A 16,717-nucleotide genomic window follows, 5' to 3' on the forward strand; every position below is an offset into this window, starting at 1 on the left:
TGTATCTTCTTCATTATTAATGTAATAACAATATTTCATCAATTGTGATATGGCACCTATTTCTATCTATTCATTTTTGTCATTCCTTCCTATATCCTCTCTGTTTCCTTTGCCTGCTATCACAATGGGCCCTCTTGGGACAGAATTCCCTGTCTTCCCAGAATGGATAATGGCCTATTATACTCTGAAATTCAATCAATATGGATATTTATCATGCTAACAGGGAACACATTTCTTGATCTCTTTCTTGGAGAAAAAGAGTCATTAAGAATGCTAACTGATAAACGGAACCACCCTTGCCAATTCCTCTATCGATTCACCTTGTTATATATTAATCCTAATCCATAGTAGTGTCCCACAGCAACGCAGTTTGCTTAAAAGTTGAATGCAGTGTTTGAGTGCCATCCAAAAATTTTTCAATACGGAATTTCCAAAAGAACCTTGTGAAACATTCAACTCAGAAAGCTGTCTCATGCTGGGGCCAACAGCCATGTTGGAATTCTGACAGCAAGTCACCAATTTGCGTATTACTACTGATATATAATAGAAGAAAAGAAGTAAAGTGCCTCTGTTAGTTTCTTGAGGCTGCCAAAATAAAGTATTTGCAAAAGTAATTGCACCAACCTAATAGCACAAACTGGATGGCTTAGAATAGTAGAAATGTATTGCCTCACAGTTCTGGAGGCCAGAAATCCAAAGCAAGGTGTCAGCAGAGCCATGCTCCCTTTGACACCTGTGCAGAAGCCTTCTGGGCCTCTTCCTAGCTTCTGGGGGTTTGCTGGCAATCCTAGCTATTCCTTGGCTTGCTGCTGCATAACTTCCATCTCTGCCTTTGTCATACGGTGCTCACCCCTTGTATGTCTCTGTCTTCTCATATCCACATCTTCTTATAAGGACACCAGTCGTATTGGATTAGGGGCCCACCCTACACCAGTATCACCTCATCTTAACTGATTAATCTGCAGTGGCCCTATTTCCAAATAAGGTCACATTCTGAGGTGCTGGAGGTTAGGACTTCAACATGTCTTTTTTGAGGGGGGAGATACAATTCATCCAATAACGGGGCCCAAGGAAGTCGATGTCATACATGTCTACCTTCCTCTGTCAGACATATAGAGGGTGATGACCAAGTGCCAAATGCTTACCATATCCAGAACATGAAAGCCTGGTCTTGCAGCAGAGAAGGCCCGTGCCCTGGGTACCTGAGGACTTGGATGGGCTTGATGTGGGCCACTATGGGCCTGAGAGGTCCAGGCCAGGGTGGTCTAGTGCAGTAAGCTCAAGTCAGGCTCACCAGAGAACTGTGCTAAGGGTATAAAAATCCTCCATTCCTTTAGATGGCCCATATTACATTCTTGGATCCAATTAGATTATCAGAAAACTTTAGCTCTATTCCACACTGTTTATGCCACCTTGTACAAATGCTCCATCCTAGATTCTGCTTTGGCATTACCCCATAGGCTTGTGTGGAGGTATAATACAAGAAATAGATAAAAGAATCTCATTATTTTATTTATTATGGAGGTACAGCTGAAGTTCTCTTTGATGATGATGATGATGATGATGATGATGTTTCTGAGTTTTTGTTTTAGTGTTTACTTTTTTCTGGGTTTTGTGCTAAGTGCATTCCTGTATTATCCTGTTTCTGTGAGTTATTATTCGCAACATACAAGTGAGAAAAATGAAACGTCCCCAGGTCACACAGCTAGAAAGAGGTAAAGATAAGATTCATACCCCACTCCAGTGCTTATGCTCCTTCCCACTAAGCTTCTTAGACCAAGCGCCAACTACTCCCTCCTTCCTCAGCCTCTGGACAGTGCTCGATCCTGGATTTCCTATGAGCTCAAGGACCACCCCTTCTCAGCCATCCTTTCTGGGCTCTCCCCTTTTGGACCTGTACTGTTGGAGAGACCCAGGCTTATCCTAAGTCCCTGTTCCCTATTTTCACTTTCTTTCCAGGTCATTTCATCAAGTACCACCCAAATGCTGATGCATCCCGACTTTATTATACTGGATGTGACCTCTAGACTTATACCGTATAACCAATTGTCTTTTTGACAATTCCACTTGGATATTTAATGGACATCCCAAACTTAACATTTCCAACATAGAACGTCTAAATCCCACTCCACACTGCCACTCTGAATCTGGTAGTCTTCCTCCAGTTTTCTCCATCTGGGTAAATGATACCCAGCTGCTCAGGGGAAAAGATTTAGAGTTATACTTGATTCTTTTCTTTCCTCACCTCCCACGTCAGTCCATCAGCAAGTTCTGTCGCCTTTGCTCCAAAACATGTGCTGAGCTGTCTGTTCCTCTGTTTATTTCCATCTTAACTATTTCACCCTAGTCTAGCTCATATCCCACCCCCAGATCTTGGCCCAGGCTCTCAAATGGTCTCTGCATCTCTCTACAGCAGCCCAGGGGGATCTTTTAAATAGATAAGTCAGATCACATGTCCCTATCTCCTTTCTCAAAACCTGTCGGTGGCTTTCTACTGTACTTAGAATAAAATACAAACTCCTTACCTGGTTTGAAGGGCTGCCTTGCTCTGGCCCCAGCCCACCCCTCTGATTTCCTTCTTTTTTATTTTTAATTCATTTATTTAAATATTTTTATTATGGAAAACTTTAAACATATACAAAAGTAAACAGAATACTATAAGGAACCCCTTTGTGTACCTATCAATAATTATTAACTCATGGTCACTCCTGTTTTTTGTCTTTGTTTTTTTGAGACAGGGTCTCACTCTGTCGCCCAGATTGGAGCACAGTGGTATGATCTCGGCTCACTGCAGTCTCCACCTCCTGGGCTCAAGAGATCCTCCCACCTCAGCTTCCTGAGTAGCTGGGACTACAGGCCTGTGCCACCATGTGTAGCTAATTTTTTTGTATGTTTTTGTAGAGATGAGGTTTCACCATGTTGCCCAGTCTGGTCTCAAACTCCTGGGCTCAAGAGATCTGCCTGCCTCAGCCTCCCAAAGTGCTGGGATTACTGGGGTGAGCCACCACATCCGGCCTGTTTCTTCTTTATATCCACTTCCTCCCCTTTCTCTCCACCTGTGTGATTTTGAAGCAAACCCAAGACATCTCATTTCATCTGTAAACTATTTCAATAGATTAAACCTCTTTTAAAAATGAAATATCACCATAATGCCATTCTTATACCTAAAAATGTTAAAACCAAGTCGTTAGTGTCATCAAATGTCAAGTCAATGTTCAAATTTCCATCGTCTCATAAATGTCTTTTGCTTTTTACTGTTTAATTTAGGATCCAAATTATGGTACTACAGGTTCACATTATGATCATTGATGTTCCTTTTCATATCTTTTAAACTGTAGTTCCCTTCCATCTCTCTCTCTTTAAATTCTCCTTGCAATTTATTTGTCGAAGAAACTAGATCGTTTTTTAAGTGCTGTGTCTGAGAGTCTGGATTTTGCTGACTGCAACCCTTTGGTGTGGTTTAACATTCTCCTTTCTCCTGTTTACTGGAAATTTGTTTTTGGCTCTAGAGGCTTGACTGGATTCAGGTTTGATATTTTTCCCTTTTGGGGAGAACAGGGTTCCACGTTGGTGTAGTTTGTCTTCCCCCCACTCCTTGCCCACCAACTTGAGCCACACTGGCCTCTGTCCTGCTTTCCCTACAAACTAGTTCCGGCCTCAGGACCTTTGCAGGAGCTGTTTCCTCTGCCTGTAACCCTTGCCTCCATCTTTGCATGAGCAGCTGCTTCATTTCATTCAGCTCTTAACCTCAATGTCACTCCTCAGAATGGGTCCTGCAGGACCTCTCTATCTGCTTCACAGCAATGCTCACCCCTAGGCACTTTATGGAATTGTGAATTGTTGGCTTGTTTACTGTCTGCCTCCCATGAGCTAGAGCATCAGTCCCGGGGAGCAAGAGCTTAATTTTTCATGGTCACTACTGTACCCCTAGCACCTAGAATACCATCTAGGCTATGGTCAGTGCTCAACAAATGTTTGCCGAATGAGATGCCTCCGTGTTGGTGAGAGGCTGCCTCTCAGTAACATCACTCTCTTGTGTGCTCAGGCAACCAAAGGAGGTACTGTCAAAGCTGCTTCAGGATTCAATGCCATGGAAGATGCCCAGACCCTGAGGAAGGCCATGAAAGGGCTCGGTATGTGTCCTGCTGGAAGTGAATCCTCCTGCGTGCATTGCACATCACAGGGTCACACAGGAGGGTGCCATGTCTGCTGGCCATCACGTGGGTCTTCCTTTAATAAAACACAAGGGAGGCTGGGTGTGGGGCTCATGCCTGTCATCTCAGCACTTTGGGAGGCTGAGGTGGGCAGATCACTTGAGGCCACAAGTTCGAGACAAGCCTGGCCAACATGACAAGACCCCATCTAGACTAAAAATAAAAAAATTAGCCAAGCGTGGTGGCACACACCTGTAATCCCAGCTACTTGGGAGGCTGAGGCAGGAGAATCACTTGAACCCAGGAGGTGGAGGTTGCAGTGAGCTGAGATCTCGCCATGGCACTCCAGCCTGGGAGACAGAGTGAGACTCCATCTCAAAAAAGAAAGAAAGAGGCTGGGCACGGTGGCTCACGCCTGTAATCCCAGCACTTTGGGAGGCTGAGGCGGGTGGATCACGAGGTCAGGAGATCGAGACCATCCTGGCTAACACGGTGAAACCCCGTCTCTACTAAAAATACAAAAAAATTAGCTGGGCGTGGTGGCGGGCGCCTGTAGTCCCAGCTACTCAGGAGGCTGAGGCAGGAGAATGGCGTGAACCCGGGAGGTGGAGCTTGCAGTGAGCTGAGATTGCACCACTGCACTCCAGGCTGGGCGACAGAGCGAGACTCCATCTCAAAAAAAAAAAAAAAAAGAAAGAGGGAAAGAAGGGAAGAAGGAAGGAAAGAAGGAGGAGAGGGAGGGAGGGAGGGAAAGAAAACACATGGAACAAGTTGAGATAAGTTGGGACAAACTGGATGGGGAGGGGCATTAGTTCTTCACTTTAATAAAGAATGATAAATTTAATATACTCATTATGGATTTCCCCTATTGTTTAAACCTGCTTTGAATTACGACATCATGAATCTGCATATTAAATTTTAGAAATGTATTTGTTTTCCAATTAGTGCTGGTGTGTATATGGTGCCACAGATTTACAAAGCAGTTTCACAGACATTATCTCATTGGATATATGCAACAACCTGTGATTTAGTGAAAGCAGCTATTCCTATTGTTATTTTAGCCCCATTTTACAGATGTGAAACTGAGACCCAGAGAGGCCGAGTAACTCTCACCAAGTCGCACAGTGAGTGAAACTGAGCCATGGCTCACACTAGGCAGATCCCATCTCAAGCTCGGGGTCATCAGCACTAAGTCCACATTCTTGCCTTGAGTCCGTCTGCTTGTTGCTGTGGTGATAGACACAGCTGTGACAGCACCGACATGCAATGTGTGGAATTTAATGTGAGAAGGCTGGTGAAGCAGCCTTGTTGTCTGGGGTAAATACTAAGGTTTTTGGTGTCATGGCCAAGGAGATTGAGGTTGCAGACAGACACACACACAGTGAGTTTGGAGCAGGAGTTTAATAGGCAAAAGAAAAGAACAGCTCTCCATCACAGAGAGGGGTCCCGAGCGGGTTGCCAAGTGGTAGTAAAATTGTCAGGGTTTTTATAAATGGGCTACTGAGGAGGGGGCTCATGAGCAGAGGAGGTCTTATCCTCCTAGGGTCCAGTGGTTTGGTTGGGACCAGGTGTGCCTTCTATATAGAGCAGAGTTTTTTTAAATCAGCTCTTATCCCATTCTCTGACCACATAGATGGACTCTTATTCTGTGTTTCTTTGTCTTGCTTATCTGGGAGGGAGAGTTTCTGTGTCTGTTCCCACACATCTTCTTGCAGCTGCAGACATCCACCCAAGTCTGTTTTTAGCTCCTCAATCTTACTGCGCCTAAAGGGAAGGAATATGCTTATTAAGACCCACTGTTTTACTGGGGCCCACTGTGTAAATGTGAAGTTTGGTGATTACCCAGGAGACTTCCCCCTCCCTTTCTGTGCTCAAGCCATCTTCTCTGTGTTTTACAGCCTGAACTTTCAGGCTGCTTGTTGTTAGAAGAGAAGTGCTTTTTTTTTGAACTGCATGAGGTTAGAAAGGGAGCTATTTTTGAGCTGCTTTTTGTTAAAAGGAAAGTTTTCTGCTGGGGACTCACTTTACCCTAAATGTCTACCTAAATCATTTCTTTCTGCCTCCTATAACATATTTCCCCCCTCAGGAATGAAATCCATAACTGCTGCTAGGGGAAACTGGGTGACGATTTCTTCTGGCTACTTCCTGCTGGAGAGTGGCGTTGTGTGGGGAACAGCAGCTAGGGCTCCTCCTGGGGTTGATTTAAGGGTCCCTCGTAGGAGGGCAGTTTCATTTTCGGCTCCATTTTCAGCACCATCTGAAGCTTGATGGTTTCTAAGCGAGAAGAGATAAACTTCACAAGGAGGTTTAGAATATAGGTTCTAAATATGAGTATTAAGATTACTATTATTAATGGGGGCACTATAGGCCGTAACCATGACAACAGAGTTTGTTTGATACCTGTGAGCCATTCAGATGGGTTGTGCTGCTGTAAGTGGGTATATGGGGCTTGGCTTTGTTTAGCTTCCTTGGTCTTACTTTCCCAAAAAAGGGAGAAACCCTGGGGTTCTAGTTTACCTGGCAGGATTTGTAGGATAATTGCCCAGAACTAGAACATGTTTCCAGATTTTTCTATTACCGATGCCTTTCTGTTTTCTCTGAGCTGCAGCCAGAGATTCCTGGTTGGTTGACAGGAGTAAGCAGGGTTAGTTTAAAATGTAGGCAAGAACTTAAAAACAACTGATGGGACTACAGGTTAATAACAGATGTATGATAAGTCTTAAAACATAATTTCTCTTTCTCTAGTCCTCATTTTTGTTAAAAATAATCTATGATAGGACTGAGTTGTTTGCAAAACAGACTTCAGTCCTATACTTGGCCTAATTATTTGCATAAAGTACAGCAAGAATAATCATCCTTACATAAGCCTCTTAGATTGGCTTTGATGGAACCTTGTTCCATGAGGAATTTTAGATAGGACTTTTTAAAGCCAAGCCCAGCCATAGGTTTGTACTTTTAAATACCTGTGAGTTGGATAAATTTTTTTCCTTCTTGAGGTTCCAGAAGCATGGGGTTCCTAGGCCTGTTAGAAAGTGACATTCTTTACTCACTGCAGGTCAGGAACCCTGTATGGAGACTGTGTAGACAGATATGAGGCCAGTTTTCCCCAGGGGCTTTTATTGGCTCAGCAAGTTAAGCTTGATTCCTTAAAGGGAAATATACCCTTCTAGTCAAAGCCTTGGTAAAACAACCAGTTTTTCCAATTGTGTTTTGTTGCAAGAGAAAATGGATTCTTGCTGCACTGATTCAAACAACTATATTGTTGTAATTTAAGAATATTTATAACTAGTTTCCAAATTCTACAGGAATTAGGCAGAGAGACATAAACATGCTCCAAACTTTGCCTATAGTAGTACACTTTGCTTAGTTATCAAAGGCTGTAGCTAGCTTAAGACAAGTTTTTTTGACTCTAAAAAATAAAATAAGGATTAGCCGTGTTCTAAGAATAAGTGAAGAATATTGCTTTAGTTTTCTATTAGTTCAGTTCATTCCATTAACTTTTGTTTTGATATTTATAAACATTTTAGCCTTTTATGAGTCCCATACATTTTTTGGTCATGACAAACCTGCATTGGAGAGAACTTGTTAAAGTCCCATGGCTTGATTATGAACCATCTTTTGAAGAGAATTAAAACAAAACAACAATTGTCTGTAAATGACAAAATGTCCAGTTTGGATACAGTCAGAAATACAATTGACAAAGAAATTTGGTTATTTTTGTGTTTTTCAAAAACCCAGCATAACAACCTTAATTGTAATAGCACATATTCAGACACTAGAACCATAGACATCCCATACAGTTTTGGAACACATGTTAATATTATTCCCTAAAGTATAACCTGAAGAGTATTAGACATCATTTTGGCAATTTTATGTACCTCAACATGTTAAATAATACTGTTTACCTCTCTTCTAGATGCTTCAGGGGTCCTCTGCAGCACCCAAAAGCCAGGGGTTAGGAAAGACAGACTTGAGACTAAAGTTTGACTTTGGGAAGCCTGTTAAGTATATTTAAAATTTAAAACACTTGATATTATGAAATAGAATTTTAGATTACCAAAAGTTTTTGTTTTTGCCAAAATGTTGAGCCAGAAATTTGAAAAAGCAAAAACCATTCATTAGCCTTTTCTATTCCATGAAAATCCCGTGTTAAGAGAGAAAGTTAAATTTTACCCTTGCATTAGTTTGCTATTAATGTTAAACTTAATTTTAAATGAAACATTATAGACAATCCTATTTAATTTTAACCAGTTTGACCATGAAGTGAGATTTTCACATACCTGTTATAACCCTTGACAAGTTTTGCTAAAGAGTAGATTAGCATTTTAAGAAAACCTTGCTGTGCTTTTATTTCAGTGATTAATTTACAGAAAAAAACCATATAATGCCCTTTTGCATTTAGTTAATATGTTTACACGCAGTGTTTTTTTTTGCAAGATTTTTACAGTTTTTTTTTACAATTTGCTTAAACCTTCTACTTTAAGACAATTCTTTATTTCTAAGCAAAATATACATTTCCATGCCCTCTTATAATCTTTAAATAAAAACATCTTTTACTGTTTTTACACACTTTCCATGTAATTCCATGTTCAGTAGTTTCAATCACATGTTATAATGGTAACTTTTAGTAATTTTTAACTTTAATGTAAAACCTGTTAGGTTGTTTTAATTATGTGCTGGATGCAGATAATGTTTGACTCCTTTCAGCATAGTTAGGGGCTTGGTTGCTTCCGTATGTTCCCAGGTGCTACCAATTGTGAAGCAGGCACGTTGATAGTTTTTAAAGGCTAAATAAAGAAGTAGTTTTATGGCCAGTCGCAATGGCTCCTGCCTGTAATCCCAGCACTTTGGGAGGCCAAGGCGGGCGGATCACGAGGTCAGGAGATCGAGACCATCCTGGCCAACATGGTGAAACCCCGTCTCTACTAAAAATGCAAAAATTAGATGGATGTGGTGGCGCGTGCCTGTAATCCCAGCTACTCAGGAGGCTGAGACAGGAGAATCACTTGAACCAGGGAGTCAGAGGTTGCAGTGGGCCAAGATCGCACTACTGCACTCCAGTCTGGCGACAGAGCAAGACTCCATCTCAAAAAAAAAAAAGCAGTTTACAACCTTAAAACATTTAGCAAACTAGTATTTGACCTGCATAATTTAGACCACATTTTTATACCTTGAAGACATTTGTATTTTACCAATAATTCCTAAGACTCTTTTTATTTTTAAAGATTAAAGTCACATGAACTGAAAGGTACCACAGCTTTTACTTTTCCCTTAAAAATGTTTGATTTAAGCGCTTATTTTTCTTAGGCCAATTAATTAGAGCTCCTTTTTTTAATAGGCATTACACAAGTAACACATATATAACCACACAAACAGAAGAAGATCCAGCAGTTATAAGATTTTGCATTTGCCAATGTCCCAATTGGATTATTGGCCTCTGAGTGAGGTTCTTTCAGAACAGAGCTAGGAATACAGCTTCCAGGGCCTAATAAGCAAGCATAGCCAGAAGACAAAGACGATTTTGAGAGGTATTTATTCACCTTTAATTCCAGGGGCTCCGAGGAAAACAGATTTTTCCTAAAATGGGATTTGTGGTGCATTTTCTGTTTCCCCAAGGAGTCCCAGGCCACCGGAAGCCATTCTAGGTGCACCAAGAGTGGCAAGACACAGTAAAAAAAAAAAGCAATTCAGTCAACTGAGAAAAAAAAGTTTCCAGATTTATGAAGATTTATTTAAGAAGATTTATGAAGAGAAAAACATAAAGGCCTTTTAAATATACCCATTGATTGGATATCCACTTTTAATTAAGCTGAATGCTCTTTAAGAAAATCCTTTTTCATTAATTAAAACTTTACAAAGAATGCAAACAGTAATTCTTATTATTTCTTTTACCCAGTTTGCTCCACTTACCTGTTCACAATCATGTTTAGGTTCTCCAGTTTTCTCTGGGAGAAAGTGGCTGGGCTCAGGCAAGGGCAGGTTTTCAGCTGGACTGCAGATCCCTTTAGCAGCAAAGCTTGGTATTTGAGGAGGCAATTGTTTGTCAGCCAGAGACTTTCCTTAGAGGACAACAGTCCTGTTACATTGTGTGGGGTTAAACAGTTATTTCCCATGGTTAACCCAGTGGCCTCTGACACCAGCAAAGCCTCCACTGTAACTGCTTGGAGGCAGGCTGACCATCCTTTGGCCACCAAGTTTTAAGTTCCTTGCTTAAGTAACTCACTGGCTGTTGAGCTGGACCTCAAGCCTTAGTTAAAACTTCCAGGGCCATTTCCTTCCTTTTTGTTACATAGAGACTGAATGCTTTCCCCATGGAAAGACTGAGGGCTGGTATGTTATGTTATATTATGTTATGTTATATTATGTTATGTTATGTTATGTTATGTTATGTTATGTTATGTTATGTTATGTTATTTTTGAGACGGAGTCTCACTCTGTCGCCCAGGCTGGAGTGCAGTGGCATGATCTCAGCTCACTGCAAGCTCTGCCTTCCGAGTTCACGCCATTCTCTTGCCTCAGCCTCCCGAGTAGCTGGGACTACAGGTGCCTGCCACCATGCCCAGCTAATTTTTTTTGCATTTTTAGTAGAGACGGGGTTTCACCGTGTTAGCCAGGAAGGCTTGGTTTAGCTGGTTAAAGGCTTTTTGAGCCTTAGGTTCCCAAAAGAGAGAGGGGTGAGTTTTAACTGTTTGAGTTTCTTTTATGAGGTGGTATAAAGGGTGAGCCATTTCCCTGTGCCCAGGTACTCACAGTTTACAAAATCCAGTAATGCCCAAGAATTTCCCTAACTATCAAAGGAAATGGGCCTAATCCTTTCCTCACCTGGTGCTCTGGTCCCTTCTGATAAGACCAGAACTAGGTACTTTACTGAAGTCTGACAGAGCTGAGCTTTGGATTTTGAGACTCTATACTCCCTTTCAGCTAAGAAATTAAGGAGAGTCTTAGCATCTTCCTGAGCCTTCCTTGATTGGGGCATAGAGGAAAGTGTTATCTACATACTGCAAGACCCTGACCTGAGGACGGGAAAACTTAGAGGGGTCCTTTGACAGTGCTTGTCCAAATGAGTGAGGGCTGTTTTGAAATCCCTGAGGCAGCACCATCCATGTTAACTGTGTGGTCTGGCCGGAGGGATCCTTACAGGCAAACAGGTATTGAGAGTCAGGATGTAACGGTATGCAGAAAAAGGCATCCTTTAAATCTAGGACTATAAACCATTTAGTTCCTTCAGGTATTTGAGTCAGCAAGGACTCAAACGGATGAATTGGGACTATGGCCCATTAATGAGGCAGATGTCCTGAACTAGTCTCCATTCCCCATTGGGTTTTTATGCTCCTAGTATCGGGGTGTTGCAAGGACTGTTACAGGGTCTGAGGAGGCCCTGCATTTTTAGGTTATTAATAATAGCTTCTAGCCCTTTCCTGGCCTCTGGCTTTAGAGGATATTGTCTCTGGTTAGGAAAAGAAGTGGGATTTTTAAGGCGGATCTGAACTGGCCTAGCAGTTTTAGCTTGACCTATTCTTCCTTGAGTTGTCCACACTTCTGGATTAATGTTGGCTTTCACTAAGGGAAGACAAAGAGTTTGTCCTGGGGCCATGAGGATGCTGGCCCCCATGTGGGCTAAAATATCTCTACCTAGTAAAGGAGTGGGGGGACTTTCAGGCATATTTAAGAAGGCATGTGTAAATAATAAGTTCCCCCCAACTACAGTGAGAGAAATATTGGGTTAGAGTCTTTCCTGAGACACCCACCATGGTTGTGCTATGGGAAGAGGGGAGGCCTTGATTGGACAGGAGAACAGAGAGACTGGCTCCAGTATCCAGGAGGAAGCCCACCCTCCTTCCTTCAATTTCCAGAATCACCCGGGGCTCCTGAACAGTGATGGCAGTCTGAGCCACTGGAGCCAGGGGTCTGAGCCCTAGGACCTGTCAGTCCTGCCGGACCATCTGTGAGACTAGTTCTGGACCTAGTGACCTCCATATCCAGGGGCAGTTTAATATCCAGTGGTCTTCACCACACGCTGGACAGGGTCAAGGTGGCTTTTTCTTGTTGCCTGGGCAATTCTTCTTAAAGTGCCCTGGCTTGCCACACCAGTAGCAATTAGTGGATGCTTCCTGAGGATCCTGGACTCTGCAAGCCTGCAAAGCATCTCCTTGAGCCTTAGTCACTTTCTCTTTTTCTCCTGGGGCTCCTCCCAGTCCCTATGGTAAAAGACCAAGGTGGCCACCTTCAGGAGATCTTCCAAGGTACTATCTGGTCCTATAGCCTGTTTTTGTGGTTTCCTTCTAATATCAGGAGCTGCCTGCTTTTTGGCTGCAGTGAGGGTTTGACTTAGAAGCAACATAACAGCTCTCCATGTGAAGTCAAACACTTGAGTTAGATTTTGGAAGGTCTCTGTCTACCTATTAGGGACATCAGAAAATCGGCGCAAGTCTCCCTTTATTTTTCTACAGTCCTGTAATGAGAAGGGAACATGTACCCTAGGGGTGCCCCTTCCATCTGGCATTTCTTGTAGGGGTAGAAGTGAAGCTGGGGCAGTGGGGAGCTTTGGAGATGGTGAAGCTGGAGAAGCTGATGGTGCAGTTGGAGGGGGCCCCAGATTAGGAAAACTAGAAGGACTGGGGCACTTAGAAGCTGCCCCCAATGGCTCCTGCAAAACTTGCTCTTCTAACTTAGGGGAATTACTCTCCACAGACCCGCCTGATATGATTGCTAAGAGAGCTGAGTCAATTGTGCAGTGCTTGCTAACGTCTGGGTTGTCTCGCGGGGCAAAGAAAGCCTGTGCATAGGGGACCTTGGACCATTTGCTCTCCTGTCTACAGAAAAGATCTAATTGATGGATAAGATTAAAATCAAGGTTCCCTTCAGCTGGCCATGTCTGTTCATCCCTGAGACAGTAAGAAGGCCATGCCCTTCTGCAAAAGAAAATGAGCTGCTTTTTCTTCAAAGTTTTAGGGTCAAAGGACTCCCAGTGCTTCAGAATGCACTCCAGAGGAGTGCCGGCTGAAGATGGCTTGTTACCCATCTGCAAAAGAGACAAGAATAGAGGTTTCCTCGGTCTCCTGGTTCTTTTCAATGTGACTCAGGGAGGAGGGGACACAGTAGGAGAGTCCTCCTGGCTGTTCTCCCTCCTTGGTCCCCGGGTCCCAGCACCATAGTTGCAGCCCCATGGTTGCAGGTGTGACCCCCAAGCGTAATACCAGAGGACCTAATCAATGGGCTAGTCATGTTTACCCATATGACCTCAGTCCTCTGCCTAATAATTGGGTAATTACTCTCTGACCTCCTAGACCTGTGTGACCTGTGTGGCTTCTTGATAAATGGATCTCCGGAGAGATAATGTAACACTTGCATTTAAGCAAGGCCCCTTAATAGAGGGAGTGTACTGGAATGAGCTTTATACTCTGCTATTATGGACTGGACTAGAGGATTTATTCTTAGGTGGTGGTTCCGGTTAACTTCCAGACATAAAATCCCCTTTCTATTTAGATGCCATTCTAGTTGTAGGCAGAATGGGTGTCTTCAGAGAACGTAAGGGTCAAATGGTGGCCTTCCTGCTAACAGAGAGAGTACTGAGACTAAAATTTGGTTTTGGAGGACATGTTCCTCCTTGCTGCTGAAAGCAGAGTTCTCCCACTTGCAGAGGGGGCATAAGGTTTGGTCTCTATTAGAGGGATGTAAAAGGGAGGAGAACTGAAAAGCCAGAGACTTTTAGCAAAGGGCAGACAAGATTCCTCATGGAGAGGATTCCCATTTTACTAGGTGGTGCTAGTGGAATACCAGGCAGTAACTTTGCCTCCATATGCTCTTTAAACAAAGGATGGAGAGAGAAGTCTGACCTGTGGCATGCTGTCCCCACAGCATACCTCCTAACAGGAGAAAGTTAGTTTGCCTCATAGAGGGGCTATCCGGTCCGACTGGACAGTGCTGGTTCCTCACATGGGAAAAGAAACAGCCTAAGTGGACAGAGGGGCATTTACTGGGGGGAAAATAACCTCCCACCCAACCCCAGGAAGTATTATCATTAGGAGTTAAATAGTCTTTGAGATCTGGATCATGGAATTCCCCTGTCTGTAAAAAGTCAGAAAAACAGCAATCCCTTAACCTGCATTCCTGGTTACTACGGTGGTTGCTAAACCTGCCTAATTGAATTATTTCCTGGGCTATAAAAATTCCTGCAGCATTGCATACAGAGAGGAGATGGGAGACATGGTGACTGCAGAAAGGAAAGGAGGAAAATAAGATTTGCAATAGGAAAACTTGGAGATCCTATGGCTGACACCCAGTCAGGCAATCAGAGGCTGGGGTCAGTCCAGGAGCCTTTTGAATAACACCAGGGTGTGGCCCTGGCCAGAAATTCTCAGTTGCTCCAGGACCTATTCCAGCCCCATACAACAACCAGGCTTTCTGTGAAAAGAAACTAGTTTGGACACAGCCAACATTCCCGGCACCCTGAGGGCAGGTCCTCCCCAGCAAGCCTCACATCTGAGTCTTCAAGACTGGTGGCCAGCCCTTGTGGCTCCTTAATCAGCTGTCAGATGCCCGGTGTTTTTGATAGTTATTTGAGAGAATAAAAACGGAGGACAAGAAGCCTCGGAAGTGAAAGTAGAGTCCGCTCCTTTACTCACCATTCTGATGAAGTCACCTTCAAATCCCAGACGAGCCCTCAAAATGAAGCAGCCTTGTTGTCTGGGGTGAATACTGAGGTTCTTGGTCACACGACCAGATATTGAGGTCAAGGACATGCACACACACATCGAGTGAGTTTGGAGCAGGAGTTTAATAGGCAAAAGAACAGAACAGCTCACAGTCACAGAGAGGGGTCCCGAGCAGGTTGCTAAGCAGTAGTAAAAATGTCAGGGTTTTTATAAATGGTCTAGGGAGGAGGGGCCTCATGAGGAGGGGATGTCTTATCCTCTTAGGGCCTGATGGTTTAGCTGCGACCAAGTGTGCTATCTATATAGAGCAGAATTTTTTTTATCAGCTTTTATCCCATTCCCTGACCACATAGGCTGACTCTTAGTCTGTGTTTCTTTGTCTTGCTTATCTGGGAGGGAGAGTTTCTGTGTCTGTTCCCATACATCTTCTTGCAGCTGCAGGCATCCGCCCCATGAGTCTGCTTTTAGTTTCTCTATCTTAGTGCACCTAAAGGGAAAGGAATGTGCTTATTAAGACCCACTGTTTTACTGGGGCCCATTGTATAAGTGTGAAGTTTGGCAATTACCCAGGAGACTTCCACCCCTTCTTCTGTGCTTGAGCTGTCTTATCTGTATTTTACAGCCTGAACTTTCAGGTTACTTGTTGTTAGAAGAGAAGTGATTTTTTTTAACTGTGTGTGGTTAGAAAGGGAGCTATTTTTGAGCTGCTTTTTGTTAAAAGGAAAGTTTTCTGCTGGGGACTCACTTTACCCTAAATGTCTACCTAAATAATTTCTTTTTGCCTCCTATAACACTGGTAGTGTCTTCCAGCATGCTACCCTCCAGTTAGCTCCTTGGGGGCCAACACCTTCATGCTGGGTAGGTACAGTGATTCTATGTGCACCACAAACTACCTGGCCTAGCCTCTGCCCCCAAGACCTTGTCTCAGTAGACTTTTGGCCAGAGAAGTATCCCCTGGTTCTTAGCTGCTATTTAGAATCTCCTTGAGATTTGGGTAAAAACACTTGACCATGAGACCATCTTTCTATCCAAAAAGAATTCATTTTACTCAGCCTCAATGTTGCTAACAGTAACAACAACCGTAGCAATAATAGAAAATGTTTATTAAGCTCTACTATGTGTCAGACATAGAGATAGATGCTTTCCATGGGTTATCTGTTTTAATCCTGACAGAAGCTTGTCTTACTGTTGAGAAGGTAAAGTATAGTGAGTGAGGCTGGCTGACTTGCCCACGGTCTCAGAACTATTAAGTGGTATATTCAGGATTCTAGATAATTCCTAGAACACTTTCCTTTCATCTTTGCATGATCAGCTGCCTCAAGTCTGATTCCAGAGCTGGAGTTCAAGCCACTGTTCTATGCTGCTGCCCATCTCTGAAGAGAACATTGTCCTGAATCTATGTATCTTCTTCTTTTCCCTTTTTCATAAAAAGAGAAAGGCATAGGACCCACCTTTTTTTTCAGTTTATCCTAATTCTTTGGTTACAAGGACACCATAATTCAAAATGTAGCCCATGTTACATTCAGAATTATCAGCATAAAGGGTGAGGAGACATTTGGCACAACCAACCCCTTTTCAGTGCCTGTTATGTGTGGGCCAATGCAAGGCAGACTGTTGGAGAAGACAAGGATTATAATCCCTAGTTCTTGTGTTCAAATAGTCTATGAATACTAGCACAGCTAAGGCATGCACAAAAATAACTATGATTAATTCATAATATAACAGTGACAGGAGGGGCACAAATAAGATCCCACTGGGGTTCAAAGAGAAGAGATCACATTTCACTTGGGGGCATCGGGCAAAGCTTCTTGGAGGATGTAGATGTTAAAATGGACCTTGGGAGATGATTGAGTTTCTGTAAACAGAATTAAGGGACAAGGTGTTTCAGGTGAATGGAATGGCATGTGC

General features: G+C 43.1%; 1 protein-coding gene and 1 long non-coding RNA gene across 13 annotated transcripts in view; one reads left to right on the top strand and one right to left on the bottom strand.

Moving 5' to 3' along the window:
* ANXA4 (annexin A4) overlaps positions 1 to 16,717 on the top strand; it is a 183,305-nt gene that overhangs the window by 140,201 nt on the left and 26,387 nt on the right. For 10 of the 11 annotated variants that reach the window (XM_047444083.1, XM_017003943.2, XM_024452835.2 and 7 more), the window contains one exon: positions 4,046 to 4,133. The exons of the other annotated variant lie outside the window; for it this stretch is intronic. In XM_047444083.1, coding sequence (XP_047300039.1) covers positions 4,046 to 4,133 — 88 coding nt within the window. The remainder of the gene's footprint in view (positions 1 to 4,045; positions 4,134 to 16,717) is intronic. 11 annotated transcript variants of the gene reach the window in all.
* Positions 5,541 to 14,990, bottom strand: SMANTIS (SMARCA4 interacting SWI/SNF chromatin remodeling complex scaffold lncRNA). Of its 2 annotated transcripts, NR_164153.1 has the most exons (4): positions 14,780 to 14,990; positions 10,065 to 10,213; positions 6,196 to 9,795; positions 5,541 to 5,918 (listed from the first exon to the last, which is right to left on the bottom strand). It is a non-coding gene; the product is annotated as an SMARCA4 interacting SWI/SNF chromatin remodeling complex scaffold lncRNA (long non-coding RNA). The 2 variants fall into 2 exon arrangements; NR_164155.1 differs by lacking the exon at positions 10,065 to 10,213 and having other exon boundaries at positions 6,257 to 6,428.

This window comes from Homo sapiens, chromosome 2 (genome assembly GCF_000001405.40).
Source record: "Homo sapiens chromosome 2, GRCh38.p14 Primary Assembly".
Lineage (NCBI taxonomy): Eukaryota > Metazoa > Chordata > Mammalia > Primates > Hominidae > Homo > Homo sapiens.